This window comes from Homo sapiens, chromosome 20 (assembly GCF_000001405.40).
Source record: "Homo sapiens chromosome 20, GRCh38.p14 Primary Assembly".
Classification (NCBI taxonomy): Eukaryota; Metazoa; Chordata; class Mammalia; order Primates; family Hominidae; genus Homo; species Homo sapiens.
The window spans coordinates 3,138,490-3,162,193 of record NC_000020.11 but is presented as its reverse complement, the minus strand read 5'-3'; the positions used below and the strand labels follow the sequence as shown (position 1 = coordinate 3,162,193).

Genomic DNA, 23,704 nt, shown 5'->3' with positions numbered 1-23,704 from the left:
AAAAGGGACCCAAGCGTGCTGCACAGCAGAGAGCTTCCCTTTACAACAGTTCCTCTGTCATCCTCTCAAAGCACACAATCAAGAATGCACTCTGCTGTAAGTAATCAAAGGACCTCAAAGAGTGGTTTATTTTTCCCCAACCTGACAAGAAATCCGGAGGTGGTGTCATGGTTGTTGGATCCTCGGGGACCTAGATTTTCATCCTCCCACTGTTCCATCCTTGGCATGTTGTTCCCTCCTTACCACAAAGTGGCTGCCACAGCTCCATGAAGACATTGAGGCGGCCCTACTTTATCATGAAAAGTAAAAGCTTTCCCAGAGCCCTCCCAGGACCCTTCCCTTTAAGTCCTGTTGGCCAGAACTGAGCCACATGCTCCTCCCACTTCAAGGGAGAATGGGAATTTGAGTATTACAAAGAGAAACAGGATTGTCATGGCTGCCTAGGAACAAACATGGTTCATTCCTTGGGGGCAGGCTCTCTGCTTTCTCTGGGTTCTACTGGCAAGGACAGAGTCATAACAATGAATAGTGTTTGCCCTGGTCTGGCCTGAGGGAGAGAACCCTCCCTAAGCAGTGGTGTCTGTGGTCTGGGGCTCCAGATATTCAAACAGCGCTGTCTCCAGAGCTCAGGAGTTGGGATGTCAGGCTTGCCCCTCCTGGCAGGGACGTGTTCTTCCTACATTGATTTTGTCTTCCCTACAAGATAGGCCCTGGAGGGAGCATGATTTCTCAGCTCTCCTTCACACCCCTTAGAGCCAAGGCATTGACAAGATATGAAGACCCTGATCAGCAGATCTCAAGTGCCCTCAGGAATGGCAGCCTGGGGCCAGGACTTTCTGATAGGTAGAGGTTTAGTAGAGTCTCTTTCTTGTCTAGGTACCTATACTGACAGCTGTGTCAATATATGTACCCAGTAGGACCCAGCCCTCCTTCTTAGGGTGGTGGAGAATCACCCTGGCTCATGCTCCATAGCTCTGGCCTCGCTAAGCCCCAGCTCCACATCCATTTCTCTCAGCAGGCTCATCTATCCATCATGTCACTAGCTCTTTTCCTGAGAGCACTTTACAGATACATCTCTATTATAAATGCATTAAAAAAAAAAAAAGATGGAGTCTCACTGTTGCCCCGGCTGGAGTGCAGTGGTGCAATCTCGGCTCACTGCAACCTCTACCTCCTGCGTTCAAGTGATTCTCCTGCCTTAGCCTCCCAAGTAGCTGGGGTTACAGGTGCACGCCACCATGCCCCGCTAATTTTTTTTTGTATTTTTAGTAGAGACGAGGTTTCACCATGTTGGCCAGGCCGGTCTCCAACACCGGGGATTACAGGTGTGAGCCACCACACCCGACCAATGCATTGTTAAAATTAGACAGGTGTGGTGGTGCATGCCTGTGGTCTTAGCTACTCAGGAGGCTGAGGCAGGAGGATCACTTGAACCCAGGAGGTTGAGGCTGCAGTGAGCCATGATTGCACCATTGCACCCCAGCCTGGGCAATGGGGCAAGACTTTGTCTCAAAAAAAAAAAAAATGTATTGTTTTTCTCACTGTACAGGCTTAGAGAATTTATGTGGGCCGGGTGCGATGGCTCATACCTGTAATCCCAGTACTTTCGGAGGCTGAGGCGGCAGTATTGCATGAGCCCAGGAGTTCGAGACTAGCCTGGGCAACATAGGAAGACACTGCCATCCCCGTCTCTATGAAAATAATAATAATAATATAACAAGAATGAATTTATGTGACTTCTCCAAGGCCATAAAACCCTGAGTGGTGGTCCTCAGATTTGAACATGTGTCTAAGCTACTTACTTTTTTTTTTTTTTTTTTTTTTTTAGATGGAGTCTCGCTCTGTGTCCCAGAGCTGGAGTACAGGGGTGCCCAGACTGGAGTACAGTGGCGAGATATCGGCTCACTGCAACCTCCGCCTCCCGGGTTCAAGCGACTCTCCTGCTTCCGCTTCCTGAATAGCTGGATTATAGGCGTGCGCCACCACGCCCGGCTAATTTTTGTATTTTTAGTAGAGACGGGGGTTTCACCACGTTAGCCAGGCTGGTCTCGAACTCCTGAACTCAGGTGATCCGCCCGCCTTGGCCTCCCAAAGTACTGGGATTACAGGCGTGAGCCACCGCGCCGGGACTAAGCTGCTTAATGACTTCCAGAGCGATCCATCCAGGAAGGTGTTTTCCCTCTGCAGGTCCTAGACTCCCCCTGCCTCCTCAACAACGTCCTCCAGTGGAAAATGTCCTTGGGAAACGCTGACAGAGTCTTTTGAGCCTCGGCCGCATCCGTCACTCGCGCAGCAGGCGGAAGTAGCGGGCAGTTGGCCGGAAGTGGGGCTGTGAGGCTCGGAGTCGCCGGAGGAGCCAGTATCTGTGTCGCCGCCGCCCGCGGCGTCCCCGGTTTGGTGTTGCGGCGCCCACCTTCGGGAGGATCAGGTGAGTGGCGGCGGCCGGGGAGGAGGTCGCGGCGGCCTCTTTCCGCGTTCACGACCGTCCTGGGCCTTGGCCTGTGCCTCCTGTCCTCCCGGCCGGCCCAGAGCTGGAGCGCATCGAGGCCTTGTTCAGCTCTTGGCCTGGGTTGCCAGTGCCTCTCGCAGGCCTGGCTGTGGTGAGAACTTCAGTGACTCTCGCCGCTCCTGAGTTTGTGATCTTTGGCAGGGGGCTTATCTGACCCTTGATTTTTTTTCCTCTGTGAAATGGAGATCGTAACAGTACTTGTCTCACGGTGCTGTTAAGAGAATGTAGTCAGATATTCTGCCGCGCCTCTCATCACACTTTGATGTGCCTGCGAATCGCTTAGAGATTCTGATTCTGTAGGACTGGGGTGGGTTCTGAGATAACTGTGTTCCTAACTAGATTCCAGACGAGGCTGAAGCCTCTGGCACGCAGACCACACACTGAGTAGCAAGGCCCTACAGTATGTTGCTTAGCATTTGGGATGCGGAGTCTTCGGTAAACATCAGTATGATAGGATATATACCTTCCCCCCATTTTTAGCAGTTTCTCGTTGCACAAGCCTAAGGGTAGTATTGATGGCCTTCTCCCTTTTTCTTTCCGTGGGTAAGAATAGTTGCTCTTTCTCTTTCTGTGCAAACCGTGACACAGCTCTTCTGTCTTGACTCAGGGAACTTTGGGTCCCCTCATATCAGCTGTGTTCATCAGTCTTGGGTGATGCTTCACTGATCAGACCCTTGGACAGTGCTTCATCCTGTGGAGCTGATAGCCAGCTGCGTTAGCACCAACTGTGGCTGGCGTTTTGTGCTCCAGTCATTTGTTGCTGCTGGAATCTGAATTCACGTTTTCTACACTTTGTGAATAGTAAGAATGGCTGCCTTTCCAGAACTAGATTCTGTAGCTCACTGACCTGAATGGTCCTGGGCAAGTCCTTGGATAGTTTGCTACTACCTGGTAGACTAAAATAAAATCTGGGCCGGACACAGTGGCTCACGCCTGTAATCCCAGCACTTTGGGAGGTCAAGGCGGGCGGATCACGAGGTCAGGAGATCGAGACCATCTTGGCTAATATGGTGAAACCCCGTCTCTACTAAAAATACAAAAAAATAGCTGGGCGTGGTGGCGGGCGCCTGTAGTCCCAGCTACTCTGGAGGCTGAGGCAGGAGCGTGGCGTGAACCCCGGGAGGCGGAGTGTGCAGTGAGCCGAGATCGCGCCACTGCACTCCAGCCTGGGCGAGAGAGCGAGAGTCCGTCTCAAATAAATGAATAAATAAATAAATAAATAAGTAAATAAAATCTGAAGACTCTGTGCTGCATAACATAACTTAAAAAGTGAGGCCTTTGGCAGTTATGCAGGTCTAATGTTTATTAGTCAGTATGATTTTCTTCCCCATCCATTGGTTTATTTTTTTAGTCCCTAATAAGGCCTTGCCATTCATCATGTGAATAAGTCAACTTTGATATAAAATAATTCTAAGGTCAGGTGCGGTGGCTCATGCCTGTAATCCCAGCACTTTGGGAGGCCGAAGTGGAAGGATTACTTGAGCCCAGGAGTTCGAGACCAACCTGGGGGCAACATAGGGAAACTCTGTCTCTACGAAAAAAACAAAAAACAAAAAAAACACACAAAAAAACAAAATGTAGCCAGGCGTGGTGGTGGGCTTGTAGTCCAAGCTACTTAGGAGGCTGAGGTGGGAGGATCGTTTGAGATCCTTGAGCGATCCTCGCCCGGGAGGTTGCCGGGGTGAGAGGTGGGGGGCAGTGGTCGAGGATGCAGTGAGCGGAGATTGCACCACTGCCCTCCAGACTGAACAACAGAGCGAGACCCTGTCTGAAAAAAAAAACAAAAGAATTCTGAAACTCCTTCTTTATTTGTCTGAAGTATGTACTATACAGCCTCTATACAGCCTTGCAAATTGTAAAAGCAGATAAAACCAAGTGTTTATTGAGCTAACAGTTATAGGTACTTGGACCATTTATTTGGGAATTTTCTCTTATGACGACTGTGTGCATGCAGCTACTTCTCTTTACCTGCCTGGATTTTGTAATTCCTCTAGAAGCCCCATTTAGATGGGCTGAGAGGACATGAGTGCCTACTGCCTGTTGTTATATGGAGAGGTTTTCTAAAGACAGGGTTTTATGAAACCCTTTAAAAGCAGTAGCTCTAACAGAATCATCTACAGGGCTTAGTCATACTATATCTACCCACATCCTTCTTGCCATTCTGATAGAGGAATAGCAGAGTCTTAAAAGAGAAGCGGAAGGGCTGTGTAGCTGAAAAAGTTTCACAAATGTTTGTGATGTGCTGTTTTTCTCCTATCAGCATGGAGTCTAGAACAAAAAGGAAGGGATGGATTGCTAGACTGAATAATTTTAGTTTGGCTTAGACCTGCGAGTGACACTGAACTTGACCTAAACACCTTTGCACTAGTGCTTCACCTTCGCAGTACTGGTAGACTCCTCTCTGAGGCCCTGCTCCCGTGTGGAAACAGAAACACAGAAGAGTCTAGCCCAGTTAACATCCACATTAACAGCTAAGGTCCTTACTGCCAGTCTCTAAGCCCTCACTAGGGGCTTTGAAGTTTTGTAGATTCTCAGCAGAATACCTCAGCACCTAGAGAAAGTTCGGTTTTTTTGCCCTTTTTTTTTGGTAGAGACAGGGTCTCGCCATGTAGCCCAGACTGGTCTTGAACTCCTGGCCTCACGTGATCTGCCTGCTCGGCCTTCCAAAGTGCTGGGATTATGGTCATGAGCCACCTGTCTAGCCAGTTTTTTTGCCTTTTTAATTCTTAAGGTTGCTCAACAAATTATTTGCTGAGACAAGAATAGGGTTGGAGTGTTCATTTATTTGTGGCAATTTTATTGGGACATAGAAAGGAAAAGTGTTAGAATTGAGGGATCAGATCTGGTAAGTGGTAAATTGTATGTGTTTAAGGTGTCTTATACTCAGTCTACAGTTAGCATCGCTCCTTCCTCTGCCTGGCCCCCCTCCTCTAACTTCTAGACTCTAGTTTAAAATGAAGCTATTCGGCTCTGCTCAGACCGGTATGTGGAAGGGAGAAAGGTAAGATTCTTCAGTCCTGTGAAATCACATCATTCAGGGAGGTTTGGGCATTGCCTTTTGGAACTGACAGGGTCCAGGAGTGTCTGAGGCTCTACTCTGTTTCGTTAGGACCCCTAAAGGGGAGAAAGGTATACTTGGGGCACTTAAACTAGGAAAGGAGTTTTGTGAAATCATATCAGGTATCTTTGACCTTTATTGAAAGAGTCAGGCCGGGCGTGGTGGCTCCTGCCTGTACTCAGTACTTTGGGAGGCCAAGGCAGGTGGATCACTTGAGGCCAGGAGTTTGAGACCAGCCTGACCAACATGGCAAAACCCCGTCTCTACCAAAAAATACAAAAAAATTAGGTGGGCATGTTGGCGTGAGCCTTTAGTCTCAGCTACTTGGGAGGCTGAGGCAGGAGAATTACTTAAACCCGGGATGCAGAGGTTGCAGTGAGCTGAGATCACGCCACTGCACTCCAGCCTGGGCAACAGAGCAAGACTCTGTCTCAAAAAAAAAAAAAAAAAAAAGAGTCAGAAGTTAATTGACTGAGCATCTCATAGTGTTCTCTTTCCAGCTTTCCTATGGATTTTCTGAGAGTCTTTGAGTAAGGAGGAACTAACCTTCTCAGGTATGTTTTCGCTATCTGGTCATCCTGACTGCTGCTTCTTTGCAGTGTCTTTTCTCCCTACTGTTCTTCTCTGCTGCTTCTGTATCTTCCTTGTTTTTCTTTCCTTCTCCACAGTACTCAAGACCAACTTCTGAAGTCCTCTGTTTCAGACCTGTGTATGTAGATACAGTTTCTATAGAGTTACTGTAAATGTTGCATAGTGAAAAGAGTAAGTAGCCACTGTTTACCATTTGTAGGTTGGCTCTTCATGCCTCTAAGATTCCTTATTTTGTTATCATTTCTGTTATTGAACATCTTTAAAGAAGTTCTTAGGTAGTAGAAAGTGCTTGCACTAAAAATAACTTTTCAACATTTTCCTTATCTATTAAGCTACTTTCTCCATTCATTATCTTGAACAATACCATAATATCTTCATAATACATGGATTTTTTAATTTAATTTTTGTCAAAATTGTACATGTACATGGTTTAAACAGTCAAATAGTTCAGTAGAGCTTGTAACACTAAATAATAGTTTCCTCTCCCGACCCACTTTTTTTTTTTGAGATGGAGTTTCGCTCTGTTGCCCAGACTGGAGTGCAGTGGTGCGACCTCGCCTCACCACAACCTCTGCCTCGCGGGTTCAAGTGATTCTCCTGCCTCGGCCTTCTGAGTAGCTGAGATTACAGGTGCCTGCCACCATGCCTGGCTAATTTTTTGTATTTTTAGGAGAGACGTGGTTTCGCCACGTTGGCCAGGCTGGTCTCAAACTCCTGACCTCAGGTGATCCTCCTGCCTCAGCCTTCCAAAGTGCTGGGATTACAGACTTGAGCCGCTGTGCCCAGCCTACTTTTTGTATTTTTAGTAGAGACAGGGTTTCACCATGTTACCCAGGCTGGTCTAGAACTCCTGGCCTAAAGCAATCCGCCCACCTCAGCTTCCCAAAGTGCTGGGATTACAGGTGTGAGCCACTCACTGATCCTGGCCATCACTATATTTATTTTTTCTTTTCTTTTCTTTTCTTTTTTTTTTTTTTTTTTTTGAGACTGTGTCTTGCTCTGTCGCCCAGGCTGGAGTGCAGTGGCACGATCTTGGTTCACTGCAACCTCTGCCTCCTGGGTTCAAGTGATCCTCCTGCCTCAGCCTCCCAAAATATTGGGATTACAGTTGTGAGCCACCACACCTGTCCAATTGTACTTCTTTATTATGGACTTTGAGGCTCTAGGTCTCTTGTATCATCAACCTCCCCCTACTCCTCCTCTTACTCACTTTATCCTCCCAATATAGTTTGCTCATAATTTTTGGTTAGGCTAATATCAAGATTTATATTAATAAAATTATGTTAGTATTATTCTCAACTGAATAGGGAGTATGATATACTAATATTTTCTTTACTCTTTTTATTTATTTATTTATTTTTTGAGATAGGGTCTCTCTCTGTCACCCTGCCATAGCAGGATCACAGCTCACTGCAGCCTTAACTTTTTGGGCTCAAGCAACCTTCCCACTTCTACCTCCTGAGTAGCTAGGACCACAGGTGTGTGCCACCAGGCTTGGCTAATTTCTAAATATTTTGTAGAGGTGGGGGTCTCACTACATTGCCCAGGCTGGTCTCAAACTCCCGGCCTCAAGTGATCTTCTCACTTTGGCCTCCCAGAGTACTATGATTACAGGAATGGGCCATTGCATCCTGCCTGTGGTAACATATTCTATCTTGTATAACTTTTTTGTCTTCCCTGGCATTAATAATTTTTGTTACTGTTTTTATTAGCATGGCTTTTTGTATCCTTATCTCTTGTTCATGCCCGGATTATCCGGTAGAAGTATGATTCTCCTCTCCTGGGTACTGTCTATGTCGTCCAGCATGAGCTGGTTGCTCTTTATGTCTGTTCACAGCTCTTGTCCTGGGATCTTCCTTCACCTTTTTCCTGGGATTTCCCTTTGCTTCTCTGTATTGAACCCTAGTTTCTGGATCCCATATCTCTACTGCCAACTTTCAGGTCTTCAATTGTGGTAGCTCTCCTTACTTTGATCCTGGAGCATCCTGCGAACTCTTTGCCTCATGTAGATTTCAGCCTTTGAGGTCTTCTCTTTGTTCTTTTTTAAAGTACAGGTTGAGCATTCCAAACCTGAAACTCCAAAATGCAAAATGCTCCAAAATCTGAAACTTTTTGAGCACCAACATGATACTCAAAGGAAAAAAAAATGATTGGAGTATTTCAGATTTTGGATTTTTGAATTTGGAATGCTCACTGGTCAGTATAAAGCACATAGTCCAAAAACTGAAAAAGTTTAAAATCTGAAACACTTCTGGTCTCAAGCATTTTGGACAAGGGATACTCAACTTGCAGTATAAACCGTAGTGATAGAATCGTAGACTGTTAGAGGTGGAAGGGACTTTCAAGCTTACCTAGTTCTAACCCTCCAGCTCCCTGGCACCTGGAAATCCTAGAAGACCATAGATTGTTCAGCCATCCCACCCCGTACTGCCCCCCGAACCTGTTTTCTGACATCCATTCTTGTCTCTCTAGTACACCAATAATGTGGGCTGAAGAGTCAGACAGTCTTTAATATTAGGCTCCACTCAATCCCTTGGCTGTGTAACTTTTGGCAGGTTTCTTAATCTTGTGGTCTCTTTCTCATCAGTAATATGGGGATTATAAACTTACATTACAGAGATGTTATAAGGATGGGAACTAATGCAGATAAAGCAGCTTTACAAGGCTCTAAGCCTTGGCACAGAGGAGGCCCTAAGGCATAGCTCTGGTTATTTCCATCTTGGATCTTAGCCTGTGTTTTTACAAATCAAAAAGTGTCACATGAATTCAAAACACTGGAGCTGCACCAAACATTGATGTTCTAGGAGATGGTTCTTTTATTTCCAGACCACGTATAGTAATTTCATTAAGTACTCTTAGGTAGAATTAATTGAAGTAATTTTAATTATTTAATGTTTTAAAATTAATATCATTTATAGAGATATTTGTTAATTCTTGTTTATGTGCTATTTGTTCCACTCAATATTAGTGTGTACTTTTTCATGTGTTGATGCCTGCCACACATTTATCTTGTAAACCAGCCTCCTTCTAGACAGACATTTTCTGTTTTTCGCTTTACTATGGCACAGCTATTTTATTTAAAAAATGGGACCTTTAAATCTATTTTTTTAGGATCTACTTTTTTTTTTTTTTGAGACAGTCTTGCTCTTTCGCCCAGGCTGCAATGCAGTAGTATGATCTCAGCTCACTGCAACCTCTGCCTCCTGGATTCAAGCAATTCTCCTGCCTCAGCCTCTCAAGTAGCTGGGATTACAGGCGCACTACCACGCCCAGCTAATTTTTGTATTTTTAGTAGAGATGGCGTTTCCCCATATTGGCTAGGCTGGTCTTGAACTCCTGTCCTCAAGTGGTCCGCCCACCTTGGCCTCCTGAAGTGCTGGGATTATAGGTGTGAGCCACTGTGCCTGGCCAGGATCTCCTTCCTCAAATGAGATGAAGACTACAGATTTGAACAGTATATGGCTTTAGTTGCACATTGTGGTGGATTAAATTAAATTCCAAATTCGAAAGTAGGTCTTCCTCTTCTTTTTTTTTGAGACAGAGTCTTGCACTATCGCCCGGGCTGCAGTGCAGTGGCGCTATCTCAGCTCACTGCAACCTCTGCCTCCCAGGTTCAAGTGATTCTCCCGCCTCAGCCTCCCGAGTAGCTGGGATTGCAGGTGCCCCAGCTGCAATTGCAGGCGCCCACCACCACGCCTGGCTAATTTTTTGTATTTTTAGTAGAGACAGAGTTTCACTATGTTGGCCAGGCTGGTCTCGAATGCCTGACCTCATAGATCCACCCGCCTCAGCCTCCCAAAGTGCTGGGATTACAGACATGAGTCACTGTGCCCAGCCAAAAATAGGTCTTCTTAAAAGCCCTGTTCTGTCAGCTGGAGAGTTCTGTTACCTGCTATCTCTGTTTTTTTGGTTCTTTTTTTTTTTTTTTTTTTTTTGAGACAGAGTCTCTGTCACCCAGGCTGCAGTGCAGTGGCACCATCTTGGCTCACTGCAACCTCCGCCTCCTGGGTTCAAGCGACTCTTGTGCCCCAGCCCCCCGAGTGGCTGGGATTACACGCTCATGCCACCACACCTGGCTAATTTTTGTATTTGTAGTAGAGATAGGGTTTCACCATGATGGCCAGGCTGGTCTCGAACTCCTGACCTCAAGTGATCTGCCTGCCTTGGCCTCTCAAAGTGCTGGAATTACAGGCATGAGCCACCACGCCTGGCCATCCTGCTGTCTCTTTTGTTCCCACCTTTCCTGTGCTGTAGTATTAATTGGATTTCCTAATGACTATTTTGAGGACTGTAATCTTCAATTATCATCTAAATATTAAAGAAAAACATTATTTTAGTACTATTTTTCTATAGTTTTTCCAATTTTAATTAAAATTTTTTATTTTTTTAATTTATTTTTTATTTTATTTTATTTTTTAGACAGTCTTGCTGTGTTGTTCAGGCTGGTCTCAAACTCCTGGCCTCAAGCAATCCTTCTGCCTCAGCTTCCCAAAGTGTTGGGATTATAGGCGTGGCCAAGTTTTTCTAATTTTTAAAAAGCTGGCTATCTGCATTTATAGAAATAGTGTGTAGCAGAGATCAGCAGACTTTTTATGTAATAGACCAAACACTAAATATGCTTTGCAGGCCATACAATCTGCCACAGTTACACAGTTCTGCTCTTGTAGCAGGAAAGCAGACATAGACAATATATAATGAATGGCCTAGCTATGTTCTGAAAAAACCTTGTTTACAAAAACATGTGAAGAGCTAGATTTGGGCCCCAGGACATAGTCTGCTCACCCTTGATCTGAACCACAGATTGAAATTTGGTGGGCAGAATGGTCCACAGGTGGTCAGGCATGGTGGCTGATGCCTGTAATACTAGCACTTCAGGAGGCCAGGGTAGGAGGATCACTTGAGCCCAGGAGTTTGAGACCAGCCTTGGCAACATTGTGAGACTCCATCTCCACACACACACACACACAAACACACACACAAACACACACTAACTGGGTTTGGTGGTGTGCACCTGTAGTTTTTGCTACTTCAAGAGGCTGAGGCTGAAGTGGGAGGATTGCTTGAAGTGGGAGGTCAAAGCTGCAGTTATCATGCCACTATACTCCAACCTGGGTGACAGAGTGAGACTGTCTCAAAAAAGAAAAAAAGAATGGTCCACAAGCCACAGTAAAGAACCAAGTGTATAAAAATTTAATGTGAGAGAATTCTGCTCTGATTCACACAGAAATTCATACATATGTTCCTGCCATCTAGAGAAGCCTGTGTAGCTGGGCTACTGGAACAGAGCCACTGACCTGCCCTGCTGTTCTTTGATGAACTAAATGATGATGTGCTATGGGCTCTGGAAGAAAGTGGCTGACAGCAGAGTTAGGCAGGCATTTCAGAAAGTCATTCTGGCACCCTTGGAACTTTTATGGAGTTTTCTGCAGCAACAGCCCTGTCTGGTACATCAGTTGACAACTCAGGTCTCCTTGGGTCTTGCTTGTCAGGCTTTGGCACTTAAGTGGAAAGAAAAAGAATAAGCATTAAGGAAAGCGAGAGCACAGCAGAATCAATTTCATAGTCTCTCATGGTTTCTGCCATGGGAGAAAAATGGGCATTATACTGCTCACAGGCAGAATAAAGACTCACTGGAAACATTGCTAAGCTGCCTTCTCCAGAAGATGTCAGCGGGGCAGTTGCGTCAATTGGCGTTCCCTGAACCCTGAGCCCAGCTTTGGGGTACTCTTTGCTTCCCACCCGTGAAGTGACAGTGAGCAGACCCTCAACCTTCTGCTTTCTCCCACCAAAATGAGTGAGTTTTTTAGTATACTTTCTAATAACACCATTACTCTGTGACTACTCTCTAATAGTGACTCAAATTCTGTTATAAGCTTCCTGAAGAGGAGAGTAGGCATCTTCTAAAAAGTAAAAGAACAGCATTAGAATGACAGAATTTTGGAATTAACAGTTTTGCGCTATAAGAACAGGGAGGGTTATCGTAGGTATAACTAATTAAATCTTTTTTTTTTTTTTTTGAGATGGAGTCTCACTTTTTCGCCTAGGCTGGAGTGCAGTGGCACGGTCTTGGCTCACCGCAACCTCTGCCTCCTGGGTTCAAGGGATTCTCCTGCCTCAGCCTCCTGAGTAGCTGGGATTACAGGTGTGTGCTGCCACACCTGGGTAATTTTTTGTATTTTTAATAGAGACGGGATTTCGCCTTGTTGGCCAGGCTGGTCTTGAACTCCTGACCTCAAGTGATCTGCCTGCCTCGGCCTCCCAAAGTGCTGGCATTACAGGCATGAGCCACCCACACCCAGCCAACTAATTATCTTTTATACCAGATCCCACTTTTTACTTAGTGCTGTTAGCATAGCAGTTTTTATAAACATTCTTCAGGTAGGACCTGTTTGCCTTGATATCAAAGAGATGGAAGGAGTTGCTCACTTTTGTTCCCAGCCTTCTTTCTAGAAATCTGCCTTCCTTCTTCCTATCAAATGTTAGCGGAGCACCGTCTCTTCTTTAGCCGTCACTGCTTGCCTTGTACAGTGAAGGAAGTCTGGTGAGCAGCAGTCCAGGAACTGCCCACGGGTACCCTGGGTTGGGGGTTTTCCTAGGCCTTTACACAGACCGCAGAATTTATCCTTGATATATGCTGTCATGTGGTTTGGGCATTTACTAGCATTGAACTTATTTGAGTAGACAGCAGTGTAGTTTCAACCTGTTTTTTATAATGTGTAAATTTGGATGCTTTTATAGGTAGAAGCCACTCATTCTTCATCTACCCTTTTTTCAGTATCTGGCACCAATTCTGACCCAGTCATTTGTGATCCCTGGCTCTTGTGATATGCTGAAGATTTCCAGGCAGTTTTTGTGGAACACCTCCCCGTCCAGCTCTAATCAAGCACCATATAAACAAGAAATTGCCTGGTCAAATCTGTGAGGACTGTATTCTGACTGCCAAAGAGATCAATACTGACACCAGAATGGCAGCTACTCTCAAGTCATTAAAACTTGTAAGATACCGAGCATTTTGCAGTCCTTCTGCCTTTGGTGCAGTCCGAAGTGTGTCATACTGGAATGTGAGCAGCACACAGCATGGGGGACAGGACCCTCCAGAACACATTAGCCTCTGCCATTCTGCCAAAAAAGTTAAGAACATATGTAGCACCTTCTCTTCTCGGAGAATCCTGACAACCAGCAGTGCCCACCCAGGTTTGGAATTCAGCAAGACTTCTTCCTCTAAGGCCAGTACATTGCAGCTGGGCTCACCCAGGGCCACAGGAGTTGATGAAGAGGACGTAGAAGTGTTTGATTCCTTTGAAAACATGCGAGTTTTCCTACAGCTAAGACCAGAATACCGTGTTCACAGCTATAATGCATCTGAGACTTCTCAGCTCCTGTCTGTTTCAGAAGGTGAACTAATTTTGCACAAAGTCAGAGTTAATCAAAATAATCTCCAGGCTCAAGTCATTGTTGATTATTTGTGTAAGCTGAGCTCTTTGCCTGCAGAGCAGCATCCTGTCTTGCTGGGCAGTACCAGCTTTGCTCTGCTCTGCCAGCTGAGTGTGAAGAAGATACAGCTCTTTGATACCCAAGATCTGATCAATGTTTTGAAAGCTTTTGTCATTTTAGGAATCCCTCACTCCCATTCAATGCTAGATGTGTATGAGACCAAGTGTTGCCATCAGGTATGGGAGATGAATATGGATCAGCTCCTTTTGGTGGCTGATCTCTGGAGGTACTTAGGCCGCAAAGTACCTAGGTTTTTAAACATTTTTTCTAGTTATCTTAATTTGCACTGGAAGGATCTATCCTTGTCTCAGCTAGTTCACTTAATTTATGTTATAGGTGAAAATCGTCAGGTATCCCAGGACCTAATGCAAAAATTGGAATCATTGATCCTTAAATATATAGATTTGATCAATTTGGAGGAGGTTGGTACCATCTGTTTGGGGTTCTTTAAATCAAGTACTAATCTCTCTGAATTTGTCATGCGGAAAATTGGAGACTTGGCTTGTGCTAACATTCAGCATCTGAGTAGTCGCTCCTTAGTGAATATTGTTAAAATGTTCCGTTTCACTCACGTGGATCACATCAATTTCATGAAGCAGATTGGAGAGATAGCTCCTCAGCGAATTCCTTCCCTGGGAGTTCAAGGTGTCATGCACCTGACTCTTTACTGCTCGGCCTTACGCTTCCTGAATGAAGGAGTAATGAATGCAGTGGCTGCGTCTTTGCCTCCTAGAGTGGCACACTGTCGAAGTAAAGATGTTGCCAAGATTCTGTGGTCATTTGGAACTCTGAATTATAAGCCACCCAATGCAGAAGAATTTTACTCCAGCCTGATAAGTGAGATTCACAGAAAGATGCCTGAATTCAACCAGTACCCAGAACACCTGCCCACCTGCCTGCTGGGCCTGGCATTTTTGGAGTACTTTCCAGTAGAGTTAATTGATTTCGCTCTCAGTCCAGGGTTTGTCAGGTTAGCTCAGGAGAGAACTAAGTTTGACCTCCTTAAGGAACTATATACCCTCGATGGTACAGTTGGCATTGAGTGTCCAGATTACAGAGGCAATCGTCTTAGTACTCACCTTCAGCAAGAGGGGTCTGAATTGCTGTGGTATTTAGCAGAGAAGGATATGAATTCAAAGCCTGAATTCTTAGAAACTGTCTTTTTACTGGAGACCATGCTGGGGGGGCCCCAGTACGTCAAGCACCATATGATTTTGCCTCATACCCGATCTTCTGACTTAGAGGTCCAGCTTGATGTTAACCTGAAGCCATTACCATTTAATAGAGAAGCCACGCCGGCTGAAAATGTAGCCAAATTAAGGCTTGAGCATGTGGGAGTCAGCCTTACAGATGATTTGATGAATAAGTTACTAAAAGGGAAAGCAAGAGGACATTTCCAGGGCAAAACTGAGTCAGAGCCTGGGCAGCAGCCCATGGAGTTGGAGAATAAGGCAGCTGTACCTCTGGGGGGCTTCCTTTGCAATGTAGCAGATAAATCAGGGGCCATGGAGATGGCTGGCCTGTGCCCCGCAGCCTGCATGCAGACCCCAAGAATGAAGCTGGCTGTTCAGTTCACAAACAGGAACCAGTATTGCTATGGCTCCAGGGATCTCCTTGGACTGCACAATATGAAGAGGCGGCAGCTGGCTCGGCTTGGCTACCGTGTGGTAGAGTTATCCTACTGGGAATGGCTCCCACTACTGAAACGAACTCGCTTAGAAAAGTTGGCGTTTCTTCATGAGAAAGTATTCACCTCTGCTCTCTGAAGGGCATTTAGGGGCATTTCTATGGCAAAGCTATAGGTGTATACTGTACCAGGTGTTGCAAAATGATTATAAAAGCCAGAATGTAAGTTTGGCGATAAAATAGTGTGTTGAGGAGACTTAATTGTATCCAAGGCAGGTTAGAGCTAGTGTATGTTACTGTGAATTGTAATGTAGTTGGATTGTACAAATTACTGCAAATGTATACATGTTACTCTTAGTAAATAATAAACATCTTAATATGTCCTACGGTCAAGTAAGTCCTTGTTGGATTTTTCTTTCTGTTTACCAGCCTTATGTCACAGAGTTTTTAGAATAAAAGTATAGTCAGACATTATATAAAGCCAATTTTTAAAAATTTTATTCTTTTCTGGAGACCCTCCCCCCACCCTTACAGATTTTTTTTTTTTTTAAAGCCAGTTTTTTTGTTTGTTTTTTGAGATGGAGTCTCGCTCTGTCACCCAGGCTGGAATGCAGTGGCACAATCTCAGCTCACTGCAACCTCCGCCTCCCAGATTCAAACAATTCTCCTGCCTCATCCTCCCGAGTAGCTGAGACTACAGGCGCGTATCACTACACCTGGATAATTTTTGTCTTTTTAGCAGAAACGGGGTTTCTCCATGTTGACCAGGCTGGTCTTGAACTCCTGACTTCCGGTGATCCGCCTGCCTTGGCCTCCCAAATGCTGGGATTACAGGTGTGAGCCACCGCGTCTGGCCTTTTTTTTTTTTTTGAGACGGAGTCTCCCTCGGTTGCCCAGGTTGGAGAGCAATGGCGCGATCTTGGCTCACTGCAAGCTCTGCCTCCCAGGTTCAGGCAGTTCTCCTGCCTCAGCCACCTGAGTAGCTGGGGTTACAGGCGCCCACCACCACGCCCAGCTAATTTTTGCATTTTTATTTGAGATGGGGTTTCACCATGTTGTTCAGGCTGGTCTCACACTCCTGACCTCAGATGATCCACTCACCTTGGCCTCCCAAAGTGCTGGGATTACAGGCATGAGCCACTGTGGCTGGCCTATACCTTGTTTTAAAATAAGAATCTCATGCTGGATGTGGTGGCTCATGCCTGTTATCTCAGCCTTTAGGAGGCCAAAGTGGGAAGATTGCTTGAGTCCAGGAGTTTGAGACCAGCCTGGCCAACATAGTGAGACCTTGCCTCTGCAAAAAAATAAAATTAGCCAGGCGTGGTGGTGTGCCCCCGCAGTCCTAGCTACTCAGGAGGCTGGGTGGGAGGATCTGTTGAGCCTGGGAGGTTGAGGCTGCAGTGAGCTGAGATGACACCACTGTGCTTTAGCCTGGATGACAGAGCAAGACCCTAACTCAAAAAAAAAAAAAAAAGGAAAAAAAGGCCAAGTGTGGTGACTCAGGTCTGTAGTCCCAGCACTTTGGGTGATCTCTTGAACCCAGGAGTTCCAGACCAGCAACATGGCAAAACCCCATCTCTACTAAAAATACAAAAAATTAGCTGGGCATGGTGATGCACACCTGTAGTCCAGCTACTTAGGAGGCTGAGGTGGGAGGATCACCGTAGTTTAGAAGGTCAAGACTGCAGAGAGCTGTGATTGTGTCAGTGCACTCCCACCTGGCTGACAGAGTGAGACCCTGTCAAAAAAAAAAAAGGCTCTCAAAGCTTCACTTATATTTCAGGATTTTTCCTCCAACACATCTTTTCACGTGCTCTAAAATTAAAATTCTTATTCTTGTTTAGATGTGGTTGTTTGTCCTTAGTTGCTGATTCCTTTTGCTTTAAGAGCCATTTCAGAATTGGTGAACTTAATATTTTTCTTTTAGCTCCCTCTTTCACATTTCTACTTGTCTTGCATAAACTCCCCCTACCCTCATATTTTTCTTCTTAAAATTGGACCTAGAAGAACAGAATTACACAAGCACCTGTTGGGCCAATGGTTCCCAAGTCTGACGCTTAGGCAGAATGGTTTTCATAGCAAGTAGCTCAGATGAGAAGGAAACATGCTATGTGTTATATTAGGAAGTCTGGTGGGATTCAGGTTTGGTTATGTTAGAGCACAAACATAAGGAGATTGTATATATATAAGTAACATAATACAGGTAACAGATACAATATATGTGATTTGCAAATAGTTTCTCCCATTCTGTGAGTTGTCTTCACTTTCTGTTTTTAATTTTGTTGAAGCCCAATTTATTATTTTTTCTTTAGTTGCTTGTGCTTTTGGTATCATATTTAAGAAACCATTGCCAAGTCCAAGGTCAGGGAGATTTACCCCTATGTCTTTTCTCATAGTTTGAGCTCTTTATATTTAGGTCTTTGATCACATTGAGTTAATTTTTATATGTAGCATGAGGGAACAGTCCAACTTCATTCTTTTGCATGTGGATATCTAGTTGTCCCAGCATCATTTGTTGAAGAGGATATTCTTCCTGCATTGAATGGTTTTGGCATCTGTGTCAAATCAATTGACCATACATGTGGGGGGTTATTTATGGATTTTCATTTCTATTCCATTCATCTATTCTTATGCCAATACCACATAATTGGGAAGTATGAGTCCTCCAACTTTGTTATTTTTCAATATTGTTTTGGCTACTCATGGTCCTTGCACTTCCATATGAATTTTAGGATCAGTTTGCCCATTTCTGCAAGAAAAGCCTTTGGGCTTTTGATAGGGACAGTATTGAATCTGTCGTTTGCTTTGGGGAATTTTGCCATCTTGACAGTATTAAGCCTTCTAATCCATAATCATGGTATATATCTTTTAATTTATTTAGATTTTTAATTCAGGAATGTTTTATAGTTTTCAGTGTATAAATCTTACATTTTCTTAGTTTTTTGTTTTGTTTTGTTTGATATAGGGTCTCGCTCTGTCACCCAGGCTGGAGTGCAATGATGTGATCGTAGCTCACTGCAGCCTCAAATCCTGGGCTCAAGCGATCCTCTAACCTCAGCCTCCCAAGTAGCTGGTACTACAGGTGCATGCCACCATAACTGGCTAATTTTTTTTTTGTTTTTTTGAGACGGAGTCTCACTCTGTCACCCAGCTGGAGTGCAGTGGTGCGATCTCGACTCACTGCAAGCTCCGCCTCCCAGGTTCAGGCAGTTCTCTGCCCAGCCTCCCGAGTAGCTGGGATTACAGGCACCTGCCACCACGCCCAGCTAATTTTTTGTATTTTTAATAGAGACAGGGTTTCGCCATCTTGGCCAGGCTGGTCTTGAACTCCTGACCTCGTGATCCACCCACCTCGGCCTCCCAAAGTGCTGGGATTACAGGTGTGAGCCACTGTACCCCGATGTTAACTTTATTCCTAATTATTTTATTCTTTTTTATGCTATTGTAGATGCAATTGTTTTTAAAACTTCTTTTATGAGTTGTTAATTGTGAGTGTTTAGAAATACAGATGATTAATCAGGCATGGCGGCTCACACCTGTAATCCCAGCACTCTGGGAAGCTGAGGCGGGCAGACCACTTGAGGCCAGGAGTTTGAGACCAGCCTTGCCAACATGGTGAAACCTGTCTCTACTAAAAATGCAAAAATTAGCCAGATGTGGTGGCACACACCTTAGCAACTCAGGAGGCTGAAGCATGAGAATCACTTGAGCCTAGGAGGCAGAGAGGTTGCATTGAGTTGAGATCATGCCACTGTACTCCAGCCTGGGTAACAGAGCCAGAGACTCTGTCTCAAAAAAAAAAAAAAAAAAAAAAAAAAGACAGATGATTAACCTGCTATTGTGCTTAATATTCATTTGTTAGCCCTAATAATTTTTTTTGTTGCTGTGTGAATTTTTCAGAATTTCCTATATATAGGCTCTTTTCATCTGTGAATACAGTTTTATATCTTCTTTTCCACTTTGGATTCCTTTTTTTTCTTTTTTCTTGCCTTATTGCTCTGGTTGGAACTTCTAATAAGATATCGAATACAAACAATGAAAGTAGGCATCTTTGTCTTGTTCTGGATTTTAGGGGAATGTTTCCAGTCTTTCACCTACCATTGGGTATATACACATACTTTTCTTTTTTTTTTTTTTTTTTTTGAGACAGAGTTTCTCTCTGTCGCCCAGGCTGGAGTGCAGTAGCGTGATCTCTGCTCACTGCAGCTTCTGCCACCCAGGTACAAGCGATTCTCGTGCCTCAGCCACCCAAGTAGCTGGGATTACAGGAGTGTGCCACCAAGCCCGGCACCTTTTTTTTTTTTTTTTTTTTGAGACGGAGTCTCACTCTGTCACCCAGGCTGGAGTGTAGTAGCACGATCTCAGCTCACTGCAACCTCCACCTCCCGGGTTCAAGAGATTCTCCTGCCTCAGCCTCCATAGTAGCTAGGATTATAGGCACCCACCACTACGCCTGGGTGATTTTTTTTGTATTTTTAGTAGAGACAGTGTTTCGCCAAATTGGCCAGGCTGGTCTCAAACTCCTGACCTCAGGTTATCTGCCCACCTTGGCATCCCAAAGTGCTGAGATTACAGGCATAAGCCACCATGCCTGGCCAATTTTTTTTTGTATTTTTAGTAGAGATGGGGTTTCACCATGTTGCCCAGGCTGGTCTCGAACTCCTGGCCTCAAGTGATCTGCCCACCTTGGCCTCCCAGAGTGCTGGGATTATAGGTGTGAGCCACCAATACTGACCTTTTTTTTTTTTTTTTCTTTTTGAGACTGTCTCACCCTGTTGCCCATACTGGGAGTGCAGTGGCACTATCATGGCTCACCGCAGCCTCGACCTCCTGGACTCAGGTGATCCCTTTTGCCTCAGCCTTCCAAGTAGCTGAGGCAAAAAAAAAAGAAAAGAAAAGAAAAGAAAAAGGGTCTCACTCTGTTGCCCAGGCTGGAGTGCAGTGGGATGATTATGGCTCACTGCAGCCTCAAAATCCCAGGTTCAAGTGATCCTCCTGCCTCAGCCTTCCAAGTAGCTGGGACCACCTGTGGGCACACTACGACATCTGGCTAAATTTTTATATTTTGTAGAGTGGAGTCTTTCTATGTTGCCAAGGCTGGTCTTGAACTCTTGGGCTCAAGCAATACTCCTGCTTCAGTCTCTCAAAGTGTTGGGATTACAGGCATGAGCCACCACTCCCGGCTGAGTATGATGTTAACTATGGGGTTTTTATAAACCTTTTATCATGTTGAGGAAGTTATTTTTTATTTTTATTTATTTATTTTTTTGAGACGGAGTTTCGCTCTTGTTGCCCAGGCCGGAGTGCAATGGCATAATCTCGGCTAACCACAACCTCCGCCTCCCGGGTTCAAGTGATTCTCCTGCCTAAGCCTCCCAAGGAGCTAGGATTACAGGCATGCACCACCCCCAGCTAACTTTGTATTTTTAGTAGAGACGGGGTTTCTCCATGTTGGTCAGGCTGGTATCAAAAACTCCTGACCTCAGGTAATCCACCTGCCTCGGCCTCCCAAAGTGTTGGGATTACAGGTGTGAGCCACCACACCTGATGAGGAAGTTATTTTTTATTCCTAGTTTGCTGATTGTTCAATAAATATAATATGCAGCAAATATTCTTTATTTTTAAAATTTTTTCAGCACACACCACTTTTCAGATTAAGTGAACATTCTTTATTTTTATTTGTTAAACCTGGCAACTGGCCGGGTGTGGTGGCTTACATCTATAATCCCAGCACTTTGGGAGGCTGAGGCGGGCGGATCACCTGAGGTCAGGAGTTCAAGACTAGCCTGTCCAACATGTTGAAACCCCGTCTCTACTGAAAATACAGAAATTAGCCGGGCATGATGGCACGTGTCTGTAATCCCAGCTACTTGGGAGGCTGAGGCAGGAGAATCACTTGAACCTGGGAGGCAGAGGTTGCAGTGAGCTGAGATTGTGCCACTGCACTCAAGCCTGGGTGACAGAGTGAGACTCAGTCTAAAAAAAAAAAAAAAAAAAAATCTGGCAACCCTAAAAAAAAAAATAGATGGGAGAGAGGGAGGGGAGAGGGGGCAGCAAAGGTTGAAAAACAAACTGTTAGTACTATGCTCAGTACCTGGGTGACATGATTATTTGTACCCCAAACCTTAAGCATCATGCAATATACCCAGGTAACAAACCTGCACATGTGTCTCCTGAATCTAAAATAAAAGTTGAAAAAAAAAAATCTGGTAACCCTAAGAAAGATGCACCATTAAACCAGCGTGGTTTTTTGTGGGAGGAGTTGGCAGAAGAGCCTTGAATGTGTTTACATGTTGACGATAGGTTTCAGTAGTCAGAGGTAAGTTGAAAATTCAGGAGAGAAGCAAGAGCAGATGGAGTAGGCCATGGAGGAGAGGGAAAGGGTTAGGGTTAGGGTCAGGTTTTATGTTGGAGAGACTGGCCACCTCACCTGGGTTCCCGTAGAATTTTGCTGACACTGTTACTAAGGTGCTGAGTAAATGGTAGTAAAAACCTTTGTAGATCTTGTTTTGAGACTGAGTCTCTCAGGAGAAAGACGGCTTATCTGTGCCTTGTTTTGAGCCTATACATTTCTTAAACGTAAAAACTGGGCTGGGTGCGGTGGCTCACTCAACGCCTGTAATCCCAGCATTGTGGGAGGCCAAGGTGGGCGGATCACCTGAGGTCAGGAGTTCGAGACCAGCCTAGCCAACATAGTGAAACCCCATCTCTACTGAAAATACAAAAATCAGCTGGGCATGATGGTGTGTGCCTATAATCCCAGCTACTCAGGAGGCTGAGACAGGACAATCGCTTGAGCCCAGGAGGTGGAGGTTGCAGTGAGCTGAGATTGCACCATTGCACTCCAGCCTGGGTGACAGAGTGAGACTCCATCTCAAAAAAAAAAAAAAAAAAAAAAAAAGTAAAAAGGCCGAGTGTGGTGGTTCATGCCTATGATGCCAGCATTTTGGGAGGCCCAAGTGGGCAGATGACAAGGTCAGGAGTTCGAGACCAGCCTGGCCAACATGGTGAAACCCCATCTCTACTAGAAATAAAAAAATTAGCTGGGTGTGGTGGTGCATGCCTGTAATACCAGTTACTCAGGAGGCTGAGGCAGGAGAATCGCTTGAACCCAGGAGACGGAGGTTGCAGTGAGCCAAGATCGTACCATTGCTCTCCAGCCGAGGTGACACAGCAAGACTCCGTCTCAAAAAATAAAAATAGGTTGGGTGCAGTGGCTCACGCCTGTAATCCTAGCACTTTGGGAGGCCAAGGTGGGTGAATCACCTGAGGTCAGGAGTTTAAGACCAGGCTGTCAGGAGTTTAAGACCAGGCTGGCAAACATGGTGAAACCTCGTCTCTACTAAAAATACAAAAAAATTAGTTGGGTGTGGTGGTGGGTGCCTGTAATCCCAGCTACTCAGGAGGCTGAGGCAGGAGAATCGCTTGAACCCACGACGGGGAGGTTGCAGTGAGCCGAGATCGCGCCATTGCACTCCAGCCTGGGCAACAAGAGCAAAACTCTTGTCTCAATAAATAAATAAATAAATAAAAATTAAAAATAAAGAGGAAAAACTGAGTCTACTTGTGCCTAGCACATGTTAAGCCCTTAGAGGGTGACTTGGCTCCACGTGGTATAAAACTGCAGGCTTCTTTGGGGCTCTAACCTGTGTTCTGGTTTTTTTGCATACCTCTCACTGGTGGGTAACTGTGTGGGATGGGCTGGGACAACTGTCTTTCATTTTAACCAGTTGTAAGAAAAAGGCACATGAGTCAAACTTTTTTCATGGATGGACAGGTAACTCAATTTAGAAATTATAAGAAGTAGTGCACTTCTTTAAAAGCTGAAGTGCCCAATTTATGAAATTGCTCAGTGCATTGATATTCCACCCACTCTTTGAGGTGAAATGCTTTTCTCTTACTTGACAGGTAATCTTTTCTTCTTCTTTTTTTTCCCTTCTGTAACCTGTTTGAGTCTAGTCTTTAAAATATGTGTGTCTGCCAGAATTACTTTTCATTACATCTCTATGAGACTCAAAATCAGATTGTATAACGCAGCTATGGTAACTTTGTAGGCTGAAGGAAGCTGGATGCTGAGGTGTTCAGAAAGTGTCATGGTCACCTTATTCTCTTCTAAATTATCCTTCCACACTTCCCTACCCCCAGGTGCTGAACCTCAACACCAAAAACAAAAGGTTTGTTGGTTGCTTCAAGCTCCAAGGAAGCACAGACAACAACCTTCGAGACAGGGCAACCAACTCTTCCAAGTTTGCCCAGGTTTTAGCACCAAAAGTACTATGTTCTGGAAAACTCCTTAGCTGTGGGTATGCCAAGACAGTTGGCCACTCAACTCCTGGATCCCTTCTTGGCCCTTCCCTTGCACTTCCCTTTCTGAGCCCTAGTACTGGCAGCTGCAAAAAGTACTCTGAACATAAATCTCAGTCTTC

At 45.0% G+C, this 23,704-nt stretch overlaps 2 protein-coding genes and 1 long non-coding RNA gene across 5 annotated transcripts in view; 2 read left to right on the top strand and 1 right to left on the bottom strand.

Moving 5' to 3' along the window:
* Positions 1-2,328: 2,328 nt before the first annotated feature.
* Positions 2,329-15,675, top strand: FASTKD5 (FAST kinase domains 5). Its single transcript, NM_021826.5, has 2 exons — positions 2,329-2,428; positions 12,934-15,675. Exon 2 carries the CDS (start codon positions 13,124-13,126, stop codon positions 15,416-15,418), a length of 2,295 nt encoding a protein of 764 aa, NP_068598.1. The 5' UTR covers positions 2,329-2,428; positions 12,934-13,123; the 3' UTR covers positions 15,419-15,675.
* The window catches only part of UBOX5 (U-box domain containing 5), a 52,293-nt gene continuing 30,917 nt past the window's right edge, over positions 2,329-23,704 (top strand). For all 3 annotated transcript variants that reach the window (NM_199415.3, NM_001267584.2, NM_014948.4), the window contains exon 1: positions 2,329-2,428. The gene's annotated coding sequence lies outside the window, so the exon portion shown is untranslated. The remainder of the gene's footprint in view (positions 2,429-23,704) is intronic.
* Positions 11,327-23,704, bottom strand: part of UBOX5-AS1 (UBOX5 antisense RNA 1) — a 43,957-nt gene continuing 31,579 nt past the window's right edge. The window contains exon 7 of the long non-coding RNA NR_038395.1: positions 11,327-11,656. This is a non-coding gene — a long non-coding RNA (UBOX5 antisense RNA 1). The remainder of the gene's footprint in view (positions 11,657-23,704) is intronic.